Genomic DNA, 13868 nt, shown 5'->3' on the forward strand with positions numbered 1-13868 from the left:
CCTCCTTCTCCAAGGGGTAACCACTATCCTGACCTCTATCACCATTCATTAGTTTTGCTTTATTCTTTTTGAACTTTATATAAAGAGTCATATAATGTGCATTCTTCCATATCTGGCTTCTTTTGCTCAACAGTAATGATACATGATCTTGTGTTAGTAATAATAGTCCATTCTCAAATTTCTGTCTAGGGTTTTGCCACAGTAATATACCACAGTCGGTCCATTCTGCTGTTGAGGTATATTCTGATTGTTTCTAGTTTTGGACTATTAGGAATAACGCTGCAGGGAACATTCTTCTGTGTATGTGGGTGCACGTATGTATGTCTTTTTTTTTTTTTTTTTGGAGACGGAGTCTCAACTGTGTTGCCCAGGCTGGAGTGCAGTGGCGCGATCTCGGGCTGACTGCAAGCTCCGCCTCCTGGGTTCAAGCCTTTTTCCTGCCTCAGCCTCCCAAGTAGTTGGGACTACAGGCTCCTGCCACCAAGCCCAGCTAATTTTTTGTATTTTTAGTAGAGACAGGGTTTCACTGCATTAGCCAGGATGGTCTCGATCTCCTGACCTTGTGATCCACCCACCTTGGCCTCCCAAAGTGCTGGGATTACAGGCGTGAGCCACCGCACCCGGCCACGTATGTATGTCTTTTTGTTGGGTGTATGCCTAGGAATGGGATTGGAGGGACATACAGTGTGCATATGTTCAGCTTTAGTAGATGCTGCTGCTGTCAAAGTTTTCCAGAGTTGTTCTATCAGCCAATGCTTGCATCAGCAGTCTGTGAGAGTTCCATTTATTACACATCCTCTCCAGACTAACAACTTGCTGTTGTTAATGTTTAACCTTTTTGAAGAGCCTCTGCTTTGTGAGATAGGTAGAGGGCATACAGTCGTGAAGAAAACAGTGCTGCTTTCATAGACCGTAATGGGTTTTTTTGTTTTTTTTTTGGTTTTTTTTTTTGAGATAGAGTCTCACTCTTGTCTCCCAGGCTGGAGTGCAGTGGCACAGTATCAGCTCACTGCAACCTTCACCTCTCAGGTTCAAGCGATTCTCCTGCCTCAGCCTCCCAATTACAGCTGGGATTACAGGTGCCCACCATCACGCCCAGCTAATTTTTGTATTTTTTAGTAGAGACGGGGTTTCACCATGTTGGCCAGGCAGGTCTCGAACTCTTGACCTTGTGATCCGCCTGCGTTGGCCTCCCAAAGTGCTGGGATTACAGGCGTGAGCCACCGCACCTGGCCAGATTAGCTGGGGCATGGTGGCAGGTGCCTGTAATCCCAGCTACTTGGGAGGCTGAGGCAGGAGAATCGCTTGAACCCGGGAGGAAGAGATTGCAGTGAGCCAAGATTGCGCAACTGCGCTACTGGCCGGGTGACAGAGTAAGACTCTGTCCCAGGAAAAAAAAAAAAAAAAAAAAGAATGTTGTACCTGTTTAATATATTTAGGTGTTGATAAGTACTTGCTGTTTTTTGTTTTGTGTTTTTTTTTGTTGTTGTTGTTGTTTTGAGAGGGGGTCTTTTGCCCAGGCTGGAGTGCAGTGGTGCGATCTCGGCTCACTGCAGCCTCTGCCTCCTGGGTTCCAGCAATTCTCCTACCTCAGCCTCCCAAGTAGCTGGGATTGCAGGCACCGGCCACCATGCCTGGCTACTTTTTTTGTATTTTTAGTAGAGACAGGATTTTACCATGTTGGTCAGGCGGGCCTCGAACTCCTGACCTCAGGTGATCCACCTGCTTTGGCCTCCCAAAGTGCTAAGATTACAGGCGTGAGCCACCGTGCCCTGCCTTTGTTTTTTTTTTTTTTTTTTTTTTTTTTGAGATAGAGTCTTACTCTGTCACCCAGGCTGGAGTGCAGTGGTGCGATCTCGGCTCGCTACAACCTCCACCTCTTGGGTTCAAACGATTCTCCTGCCTTTGCCTCCCCAGTAACTGGGATGACAGGTGTGTGCTACCACACCGAGCTAATTTTTGTATTTTTAGTAGAGACGGGGTTTCACCATGTCTGGAGAGGAGCAGTCCAGGCAAAGGTAATAGCGGGTGTTGAGGCCCTGAGGTAGGAACATGCTTGATATGTTTAAAGAGCACCAAGGAGGCTAGCATGGCTGGAGCAGGGGATGGAGCGAAAAGCTGATGTCAGGGAGGTAGATGGGGGCCAGAGCACACAGCGCATTTGGGGTCATGGTAAGGATTTTGGATTTGCTGAATGAAATCAGTTTTGAGCAGGAGGGTGACATTATCCCCTTTACCTTTTAAAGAGATTGCTTTTATTTATTTATTTATTTTATTATTATTATTTTTAAAGACAAAGTCTTGCTCTGTCCTATAGGCTGGAGTGCGATGGTGGGGTCTTGCTCACTGCAACCTCCGCCTCCTAGGTTCAAGTGATTCTCCTGCCTCGGCCTCCCGAGTAGCTGGGACTACTGGTGCCTGCCATCACACCTGGCTGATTTTTTAATTATTAGAGATGGGGTTTCACTGTGTTGGCCAGGCTGTTCTTGAACTCCTAACCTTGTGATCCGCCCGCCTTGGCCTCCCAAAGTGCTGGGATTACAGGCGTGAGCCACTGCACTGGGTCTAAGAGATTGCTTTTAGAGAAAACACCTAGTGAATCAAGGGAGGAGGTAGGAATGTGAATTAAGAAGTTACTGTTGGCCGGGCTTGGTGGCTCACGCCTGTAATCACAGCACTTTGGGAGGCCGAAGCGGGTGGATCACCTGAGGTCAGGAGTTTGAGACTAGCCTAGCAAAAACATGGTGAAATCCTGTCTCTACTAAAAATAGAAAAATTCACTGGGTGTGGTGGCAGGCGCCTGTAGTCCCAGCTACTTGGGAGGCTGAGGCAGGAGAATTGCTTGAAACCTGGAGGTGGAGGTTGCAGTGAGCCAAGATCGTGTCACTGCACTCCAGCCTGGGTGACAAAGCAAGACTCCATCTCAAAAAAAAAAAAAAAAAAAAAGTGTGGCACTGCACACCAGCCTGGGTGACGGAAAACGTGTCCTTGGCCAAATAGTGGTATCCTGCTCAATGAGGGATAATGTTATTTATGCTATAATATCTACCTATTATTTATTCTGTAGTGTTCTGCATTGACACTATAGTTTTTTATTTTTATTTTTTTATTGAGATGGAGTCTCACTCTGTCATCCAGCGAGGCTGAGGTGGGTGGGTCAGAGACCTCAAGTTTGAGACCAGCCTGACAAACATGGCGAAACCCTGTCTCTACTAAAAATACAAAATTAGTCGGGCATGGTGGCGTATACCTGTAATCCCAGCTAATTGGGAGGCTGAGACAAGAGAATCACTTGAACTCGGGAGGCAGAGGTTGCAGTGAGCCGAGATTGTGCCATTACACTCCATCCTGGGCCACAAGAGGGAGACTCCATCTCAAAAAAAAAAAAAAAAAAAACGGGGCGGGGGGAATATCTTATAATTACTTTCCTAAAGATAGCTTTCAAAAATTACAGTGTCGAGAAGGCTCATACCTGTAATCCCAGCCCTTTGGGAGGACAACACAGAAGAATAGTTTGAGACCATCCTGAGCAAAATAGCAAGAATGCATCTCTACAAAACATAAGAAAAATTAGCCAGTAGCACACCTGTAATCCCAGTTACTCAGGAGGCTGAGGCAGGAGGAGGCTAAGCCCAGGAGGTTGAGGCTGGAGTGACCTGTGATCATGTCACTGCACTGTGCCTGAGAGACAGAGCAAGACCCGGCCTCAAAAATGTAAAAATAAATTCAAAAAATGAACAATAATTTAAAAACTACAGCGTCAGACGGGCATGGTGGCTCACACTTGTAGTCCCAGCACTTTGGGAGTCCGAGGCGGGCAGATCACCTGAGATCAGGAGTTCGAGACCAGTCTGGCCAACATAGTGAAACCCCATCTCTACTAAAAATATAAAAATTAGCTGGGTGTGGTGGTGCATGCCTGTAATTCCAGCTACTCAGGAGGCTGAGGCAGGAGAATCCCTTGAACCTAGCAGGCAGAGGTTACAGTGAGCTGAGAGCGTGCCACTGCACTCCAGCCTGAGCAACAGAGTGAGACTCCATCTTAAAATATAAAAATAAAAAACTATAGCCAGGTGCAGTGGCTCACGCCTATAATCCTAGACTTCGGGAGGCCGAGGTGGGCAGATCACAAGGTCCAGAGTTCGAGACCAGCCTGACCAACATGGTGAAACCCTGTGCTGGGATTACAGGTGTGAACCACCATGCCCAGCCAAGACATTCTTTAAAAATGCCTAGCAAATATAGTAAAAAGTAAAAATTCTCTTTCACCTCATCGCTGAAAGTTTCTGTATATTTTCAGGCTTTTTGGTATACCTTTATACACATCTGTAATACTCACGCAGTGTTTTTTCTAAATGGAATGATACTGTACATAATACTTTGCAGTTTTTATAATTTACAGTCAGATGGGAAGGACACAAAACTATTCTAGAAGATCTTTGCTTTAAACAGTAGTGAAGACATTTATCTCTTCTGTTGTTTTAAGTGCCTTGGAACAGATTTTATGAACAACAGCAACATTCGATATTGATTTGCTCAGTGTTAGTAGTGAGATGCCTTTAGTAGTGAGATCACACCTTTCAGAGAACTTTCTAAATGCTCTGTAAATAAAAGCAGATATGTGATGGACTGCTTCATGATGTTGCCAAGCACCATTCACATCCTTTTCCCTTTCTCAGAAAGTGCAGAGTCATCCATTTTGGAGCAGTTAGTTCTTGCAGATCTACCAATTACCTGTGGTTATAGGAGATGATGTTTCTCTATCTGCCTGAAAGTGGAAAAAGGAATTAATGAACCTGTGAAGTTCAGTTCTGTAACTAGACAGAGCTGTGCTGGAAATGAAAATAAGTCCTTTCTGTTATTCATGACATATGGGAAGAAAAGCTTCAGGTAGATCAAGCTCTGCAGGCCTAAATCCACAGAAGCCTTGCCAATTTTCAGCTCATTATTGCCATCAAGGTATTTTGGTGATTATTTCCACTATTGTAAACTAATTCATAGGACTGGTTTTTTTGGTTTTTTTGGTGTTTTTTTTTTTTTTTGAGACAGAGTCTCGCTCTGTTGTCCAGACTAAAGTGCAGTGGTGTGATCTTGGCTCACTGCAATCTCCGGCTCAATCACTCAAGTGATTCTTGTGCCTCAGCCTCTTGAGTAGCTGGGACTGTAGGTGAATGTCACCATGCACAGCTTTTTTGTATTTTTAGTAGAGATAAGGTTTGGTTTGGTTAGTAGAGCCTAGGTTGGCTAGGCTGCTATATTTTGCCTTTTTTTTTTTTTTTGAAGACGGAGACTTGCTTGCAACCTCCGCCTCCCGGTTCAAGCAATTCTCCTGACTCAGCCTCCCGAGTAGCTTGTTCTACAGGTGTGTGCCACCATACCTGGCCAATTTTTTGTATTTCTAGTAGAGATGGAGTTTCACTGTGTGGGCCAGGTTGGTCTCAAACTCCTGACCTTGTGATCCACCCGCCTCGGCCTCCTAAAGTGCTAGGATTACAGGCGTGAGCCACCGTGCCCAGCTTACATTTTGCTTTTATTTTTTTTGAGACAGAGTCTCTCTCTGTCACCCAGGCTGGAGTGCAGTGGTGCAATCTCGGCTCACTGCAACCTTCACCTTCCAGGTTCAAGTGATTCTCCTGCCTCAGCCTCCCAAGTAGCTGGGACTACAGGCACGTGCAACCATGCCTGGCTAATTTTTTGTATTCTTAGTAGAGACTGGGTTTCATTGTGTTAGCCAGGATGGTTTCGGTCTCCTGACCTCATGATCCGCCTGCCTTGCCTCCCGAAGTGCTGGGATTACAGGCGTGAGTCACTGCATCCTGCCTACATTTTGATTTTAATGTCTTACTGTTAATGATCCATGCACCAAATTCCCATGCTGTTAGTATTTTTCTCAGAATGACAAAGGAATTGAAATGCCATTGTGGGATAAAATTAAATATTGTCAAAGGCCTGCTCTGAGCCAGTCTATGGACTAGGTAGATATATTGGGGAGATAATGAAGTAGGCTCTTGTTGGAAACAGAGCAGACCAAACCAAACAGAAAATGAATTTGTCAGACCAGGCACGGTGGCTCACTCCTGTAATCCCCACACTTTGGTAGGCTGAGGCGAGTGGATCACCTGAGGTCGGGAGTTTGAGACCAGCCTGATGAACATGAAGAAACTCCCTCTACTAAAAATACAAAAAAAAAAAAAAAATTAGCTGGGCATGGTGGCACATGCCTATAATCCCAGCTACTTGGGAGGCTGAGGCAGGAGAATCTCTTGAACCCGAGTGGCAGAGGTTGCGGTGAGCTGATAACACGCCATTGCAGTCCAGCCTGTGCAACAAGAGCGAAACTCCTTCTCCAAAAAAAAAAAAAAAGTGAATTTATCTGTGTCTTGGTTTTCTTTTTTTCTTTCTCTTCTTTTTTTTGAGACGGAGTCTGGCTCTGTTGCCCAGGCTGGAATGCACTGGAGCGATCTTGGCTGACTGCAACCTCCGTCTCCCGGGTTCAAGCGATTCTCCTCCCTCAGCCTCCCAAGCAACTGGGACTACAGGCTCACAGCACCATGCCCAGCTAAGTTTTGTAGTTTTAGTAGAGACGGGCTGTCTCAGTTTTCAAATAATGAAGGTGAATTCAACTGGTAAATGTAGGTTTCTATTAAATAATGATTAAGGAAAGAAAAATAATATTTGGCCCTCTGTTTCTGTGGGTTTTGCATCCATGAATTCAGCCAACCATGGATCGCAACTATTCAGGAAAAAAAATATACAGATTGTGGCTGGGCACCATGGTTCATGCTTGTAATCCCAGAACTTTGGGAGGCCAAGATGGGCAGATCACCTGAGATCAGGAGTTCGAGACCAGCCTGGCCGACAAGGTGAAGCCCCATTTCTACTAAAAATGCAAAAATTAGCCCGGTGCAGTGGCATATGCCTGTAATTCCAGCTATTCAGGAGGCTGAGGCGGGAGAATCGCTTGAACCCGGGAGGTGGTGGTTGCAATGAGTCGAGATTGCTCAACTGCACTCCAGTCTGGGCAACAGTGCGAGACTCTGTCTCAGAAAATAAATAAATTATTTAAATAAAGAGTATTAGAGGTATGGGTAGGTTATATGCAAATATTATACCATTTTACGTAAGAGACTTGAGCATTGGTGGATTTTGGTATCCACACGGATTCCTTGCACCAGTCTACCGTGGATACTCAGGGACAACTCTGTGTATGGTATACACCTTGGTGTGTATTCTAATCATCTGGGAAGCTTGTGAAATGTAGGTTCACCCCCTGGATTTTTAAATCCTGGAAGGTCTGGGGTAGGGTCCAGGAATCTTCATTTTCAGCAGCAGGGTTCCTAAATAATTCTCTTAGAGGTAACCTGAAGACTCCTTTGAGGAGCATTGGTGTCTCAGAGGGTGTCTAAACCTGACAAAGACCATCTAAATCTAGTTGGCTGAGCCGGGCACGGTGGCTCACGCCTGTAATACCAGCACTTTGGGAGGCCGAGGCAGGCGGATCACCTGAGGTCGGGAGTTCGAGACCAGCCTGACCAATGTGGAAGAAACCTCATCTCTACTAAAAATAAAAAATTAGCCAGGCATGGTGGCTCGTGCCTAATCCCAGCTACTCGGGAGGCTGAGGCAGGAGAATCGCTTGAACCTGGGAGGCAGAGGTTGTGGTGAGCCGAGATCACGCCATTGCACTGGAGCCTGGGCAACAGAGCAAAATTCCGTCTCAAAAAACAAACAAAAATCTAGTTGGCTGAAGAGTTATGGGGAGGAAAAACTATTTTGATATAGCACAAACTTTGTGATAAAAGTGATAAACGGAGATAACTGAGAAACTATTAAGGAAAGAGATCAGTTAACGCTCACTGAGGTAGGGAGGAGAGGCAGATGTCTGATTTTATGTTAAACTTGAGGAATATATCTTTCATTTGATTGCCTTGTTTTATATACCTCATAATGCTATATTGTCTTGGTAACCAAGCTCTCATATCTGTATATTACTGCAGTCCTGGGGCATCTCTAACTTCTAACATATACTACTTTTTTGATAAGCTATTGAACTGTCCTAAGTAGGCCGGGTTTGGTGGTTCACACCTGTAATCCCAGCACTTTGGGAGGCCAAGGCAGGTGGATCACTGGAGGTCAGGAGTTCGAAACCAGCCTGGCCAACATAGTGAAACCCAGTCTCTACTAAAAATGCAAAAATTAGCTGGGTGTGGTGGCACGCATCTGTATTCCAAGCTACTTGGGAGGTTGAGCCAGAGAATTGCTTGGACCTGGGAGGCAGAGTTTGCAGTGAGCTGAGATCATGCCGCTGCACTCCAGCCTTGGTGACAGAGCAAGACTGTATCTCAAAAATGAAAAAAAGAAATATCTTAAATAACTTTTCAACGTTCAAACTAACTCGTGGACTATGGCATAAAATCATTTGTTACTCATGAGTGTTTTCGTTTATTTGTTCAGGAAATAATCACTGTTTTTACACACGCACGCGCACACACACACACATTTTCACCTGCCATCACATACACACACACACACTTTCACCTGCCATCACACACACACACACACACACACACACACAATTTTCAGCTGCCATCCTAGATAGTTTACCAATATTGATGAGTCTTTCTTAATGGGGGGACATTTCTCGGAGGATTTAAGTATAGGTTAAGTCGATTTAAGGCTTTAGGGGGAGAAGAAAACATTTCTCAATTATAAAGTATACAACTAGGAAGAAATTCTTATTTCTCATATTCTGTTTATTTAGCACTATCCATTCATTTAGCACATTTACTTGTATTGACACTACCATGCTTATGAAGCCGTGATGGCTAGGGAGTAATGAGCTTGTTTTGCTAGTGTTATCTTCTATAAATGTTCTAAATTAAGTAGTTGGGGAAGTGGTTAATGACAACCAAATTTGTAATCTAGGATTGTTACCCTCTAATCAATTCTTTTTAAATTTCTTCCTGACATTTATCTTGTTATAATAATAACTCTCTGACATTATTATTATAACAAAATTGTTGTATTTGTGTTTTGGGGATAAAAGGCATATTTTAGCATCCTATAGTTTAAAATGGTGTTTGTTTTAATCTGGGTGATAAGATGGAAATGCTGACCTGGGCTTGCCTGATCTACAGCTAACATTGTTCTAATAAACTGCATGGAGTCCAGGTGTTTTACTTTAACTGCAGCTGTACCATCTGTGGGAGCAGGTGGACAGATTCTGTGTCATCAGGAAAATACAGCTGGTGAGACTAAGGAGAAGAGCTAATTGATTGCTTTTCCAGCTCTCTCCAGTCATATATACCTAAGCATAGCATTTACCTTGGCACAGGTGTTGCCTTTGGTCTGGATAGTAACAGCAAAATTGAACAAAAAAAGATGTAAATTTGAGCTGCGTGTGTGTGTGTGTGTGTGTGTGTTTCTTGGTTGGCATTGAGAAAGATAATTTAAGGGTTTTTTGTTTGTTTGTTTAGGTTTTATTTTTGTTTTTAGTTACTTGAAGATATTTCCAGCTCGTTAACTTCTCTGAGAGAGTTCCTTGTAAGGCTACTTATAAATAGTAGTATATATATATATAGTTTATGGCAGGGAAGATCTGGGAAGTAAGCAAAAAGAGCCTTTAGTTAGGCAACATAGAACAAAATAGAGGTCACAGGTTCCATGCACTGAAGAATGGAATTGAAATAGAGACTCCAGGGTCATAGACTCTTGGAAGGAAGACTAGAGTACATTCATGACCCTCACCCTTAATTACTTCACAGGTGAGAAAACCAAGAGCTACAGAAAATAAGTTATTCCTCAGTACCAGGGCCTGGTTCCTTGGAGAATTGGGTTAAAATTCAAAATAACCTTCTAAAAAATTCTTTCAGAAACGAGTAGTGAAAGCCAGTGGATCAAATTCAGTGATAGTTAACAGAGAAACAGCAGCATAGATAAGTAAGCCAATTTAATGTAGGGAGCAACCACTAGTGTACATGATCTCAGCTCATCTGGTACTACCAAGTAAAAATGAACCTGGGCCAGCCACAGTGACTCATGCCTGTACTCTCAGCGCTTTGGGAGGCCAAGGTGGGAGGATTGTTTGAGGCCAGGAATTTGAGACCATCCTGGTCAACATAGCAAGACCCTGTTTGTTTAAAAAAAAAAAATTAAAAAAATAAAAATTTAGCTGGGCTTCGTGATATGTGCCTGTAGTCCCAACCTACTTGGGAGGCTGAGGTGGGAGGATCATTTGAGCCCAGGAGTTCAAGGCTGCAGTGAGGCATGATTGCACCACTGCACTGCAGCCTAGGCAACTGAGTGAGACCCTGTCTCACAAAACTAATAAATAAGTAAATAAATAAAACAGAACCTGTATTATAGTGTTATTTTAGAAACAATTATACCATTGAGATGCATGAAGAGAGCTAGTAGTTTTGCCTATCATACTTAAGGTTTAACTTCTTCAGCTTAAGAGATATATGAGAGCAGCTTTTGAGAGGATTTAAAAGATCCCTAAAAAAAGAAAATCCAATGGAAAGGTTCAAAAACTTGTGTCTGATGAAGAGAAAATACAGAAGTTTGATAAGCCTTTAAGGATTGTTTTGTAGAAGTTGGCTAGTTGTATACTTATCCCTTTAGAACTAGACAGGAAGGGGCAAATTTACCTTAGCCATGGGGAATATAGATACGCATTGTAGATTCTGGGTATGAGCAGCAGCATTGCCACCTGGGAACTTGTTAAAAATGCAGAATCTGGGCTCTGGCCCAGACCTACTGAATTTGCATTTTAGTAAGATTTCCCAGGTGATTCATATGAACATTAAAATTTGAGACATATTGGGATAAATCATAGGCTTTATTTTTTATTTATTTATTTTTTTTTATATTTTGAGACAGTCTTGCTGTGTTGCCCAGGCTGGAGTGCAGTGGTGCAATCTTGGCTCACTGCAACCTCTGCCTCCTGGGTTCAAGCAGTTCTCCTGCCTCAGCCTCCCATATATGTTTGCAGCCTCCCTGAATTATAATTTAATTACAGAGTCTATCTTAATTAAATAATAAAGATCATTCTTATTTTTCAAAAGCATTTAAAAAAATGGGGTTCTTATCTAGATGAGAGAGGTTTTACTCCATAAGGATCACAGTCTAGTGATCCAATAAGCAAACAAACGTGTACTAAAACCCCAGGTGGGGATAAATACTTTGAAGAAAAATAAGCTAAGATTGGAGAGTCTTTCAGTTTAAGACCTAATTTATTCCCTATGTGTTGTGTTTTTTGTTTTGTTTTCTTTTTTTCCCAGGATGGAATTTCACCCTTGTCGCCCAGGCTGGAGTGCAGTGGCATGATCCTCACCGCAACCTCCGCCTCCCTGGTTCAAGCAATTCTCCTGCCTCAGCCTCCCGAGTAGCTGGGATTACAGGCATGCGCCACCACTCCCGGCTAATTTTGTATTTTTAGCAGAGACGGGGTTTCTCCATGTTGGTCAGACTGATCTCGAACTCCTGACCTGAGGTGATCCGCCCGCCTCGGCCTCCCAAAGTGCTGAGATTATAGGCATGAGCCACCACGCCCGGCCAGTGTGTTGTGCTTTTTTTTTAGTTTTTAATGGTTATCACTTGTAGGTAGGTTTTAGAGCAGACTTCAGTTTTTTGGGTTTTTTTGTCCCTCTTTTTTTGTTTTCTCGTTTTTTAGACTTCAGTTTTCAGGACAAAAATATGTACAGGTTTTAAAATTATTATTATTATTAAAAGAATTACCTTAACTCAGTGCCTGGCACATAGTTAACATTTAACTGGGAATGTTTCATAATAAATCTCAAGTAAGATCTTAAGAAAATCAACACTGATTGTTACCTGTCACAAGTCACGTGGGCTGAGATTTCTGGCTAGGCAGGAAAGAAAGAAAAGTTCAGTCTTTTGTTCTCTTTTTCATATTATTATGATTTTTGGATTCTGTGGATTCCAGAATCAGAGTTTGAACAGAGAAGTGGTTTCTACACTTTGTTGCATACCAGATGGGTATGGTTTTGGAATAATGAAGGGGCTTTCAGACTGTGGGTTCTTGAGTGATTTATGACATTTCTCCCGCTTTGTAGTTGTTTTTCTTGGAACTTGCCTAGATGGGCATGCCATGAACTTGCAAACGTTGTTCTCATTTTCAAATAAAATAATTTTGTTGCAATTTATTTTTAGGATTAAAAAAAAAATCCAGATGCTCACTTAAATACATAAGAAGACAAACCAGGATCAATCTTAATAGGAGAAAGGTATACATGTAGAGGGGAATTAACTTTATGCTTGCTATGCTAGAAATGAGCTGGTTGAGTTGCACTCAGGTAATAGTATGGTAAGGTATATTTTTTTGGTTAATTTGAAAAGAAAATGTATATATGTATGACTGCTATATATGTCAGAAAATGTGACAAATAGCTTTTTTTTGTTGTTGAGATGGAGCCTCACTGTGTTGCCCAGGCATGGAGTACAGTGGCACGATCTCAGCTCACTGCAACCCTTGCCTCCCGGGTTCAAGCAATTCTCCTGCCTCAGCCTCCCAAGTAGCTGGGCTTACAGGTGTGTGGCACCACGCCTGGCTAATTTTTGTATTTTTTAATAGAGAAGAGATTTCACCATGTTGTCCAGGCTGGTCTTGAACTCCTGACCTCAAGTGATCCACCTGCCTTGGCCTCTCAGAGTGCTGGGATTACAGGCGTAAGCCAGTGCACCCGGCCGCTTTTTTTGTAAATGGCTTTGTTGAGATATAATTCACATACCCTACCTCCATTTTTTTTTTTTTTTGAGACAGAGTTTGGCTCTTGTTGCCCAGGCTGGAGTGCAATGGCACAATCTCGGCTCACCACAACCTCCGCCTCCTGGGTTCAAGTGATTCTTATGCCTCAGCCTCCTGAGTAGCTGGGATTACCAGGCATGTGCCACCATGCCCGGCTAATTTTGTATTTTTAGTAGAGATGGGGTTTCTCCATGTTGGTCAGGCTGGTCTCGAACTCCCGACCTCAGGTGATCTTCCTGCCTTGGCCTCTCAAAGTGCTGGGATTACAGGTGTGAGTCACTGCACCTGGCCCTACCCTACTTCTTTAAGGTATACAATTTAATAGTTTTTAGTATGTTGACAAGGTTTTATAACCATCACTGCACACAGTGCAGTGAATATTTATATCACTCCGAAAAGAAACCCCATACCCATTAACAATTACTGTCTATTTTTCCTTTCCCCAGTCCCTAATCTACTTTTTTATTTTTCCCTTGAGATGGAGTCTGACTTTGTCACCCAGATTGGAGTGCAGTGGTACAGTCACAGCTCATCGCAGCCTCGACCACCTGGGCTCAAGCAATTCTCCCACTACAGCCTCCCAAGTAGCTGGAACCACTGGCACATGCCACCATGCCTGTGACCAGTTTTTAAATTATTTGTAGAGATGAAGTCTCACTTTGTTGCCCAGGCTGGACTCAAACTCCTGAGCTCAAGCGATCCTTGTGCCTTGGCCTCCCAAAGTGTTGGAATTACAGGTGTGAGCCACTGCACCTGGCCACGTAATCTACTTTCTGTCTATGGATTTGCCTTTGTGTTTTTTATTGGTGATTGGCCTTCAAGTATAATGCTGAAGTGCTGTCTCCTGTTTCCAAGAGCTAGAAAGCTATGCTGTACTTTAGAGGAAAATATATTAAATAAGCTTTGTTCAGGCTGTTTGACATGTTAATGAATCCTCCCGCCTTGGCCTCCCAAAGTGCTGGGATTACAGGCGTGAGCCACCGCGCCTGGCCTTACATATATTTTAAGTAAGGTGTTAACACTATATAATTCATCTGTGTAACCCAAAACTACTGTATCCCTAAGGCTATTGAAATTTAAAATAAGTAAATAAATAAGG

The 13868-nt window shown here is 43.2% G+C and overlaps 1 protein-coding gene across 1 annotated transcript in view, besides 1 other annotated feature; it reads left to right on the top strand.

Annotated features, from left to right (window-relative positions):
• Window positions 1-13868, top strand: part of CBFA2T2 (CBFA2/RUNX1 partner transcriptional co-repressor 2) — a 159935-nt gene that overhangs the window by 22330 nt on the left and 123737 nt on the right. The gene's annotated exons all lie outside the window — the stretch shown is intronic.
• Window positions 4719-5483: an enhancer, noted in NCBI's record as "H3K27ac-H3K4me1 hESC enhancer chr20:32104950-32105714 (GRCh37/hg19 assembly coordinates)". NCBI's record gives its function as "activates a minimal SCP1, AML or CMV promoter by ChIP-STARR-seq in primed H9 embryonic stem cells {active_cell/tissue: H9 hESC(primed)}" and the evidence as "EXISTENCE:reporter gene assay evidence [ECO:0000049][PMID:30033119]".

This window comes from Homo sapiens, chromosome 20, assembly GCF_000001405.40.
Source record: "Homo sapiens chromosome 20, GRCh38.p14 Primary Assembly".
NCBI lineage: Eukaryota > Metazoa > Chordata > Mammalia > Primates > Hominidae > Homo > Homo sapiens.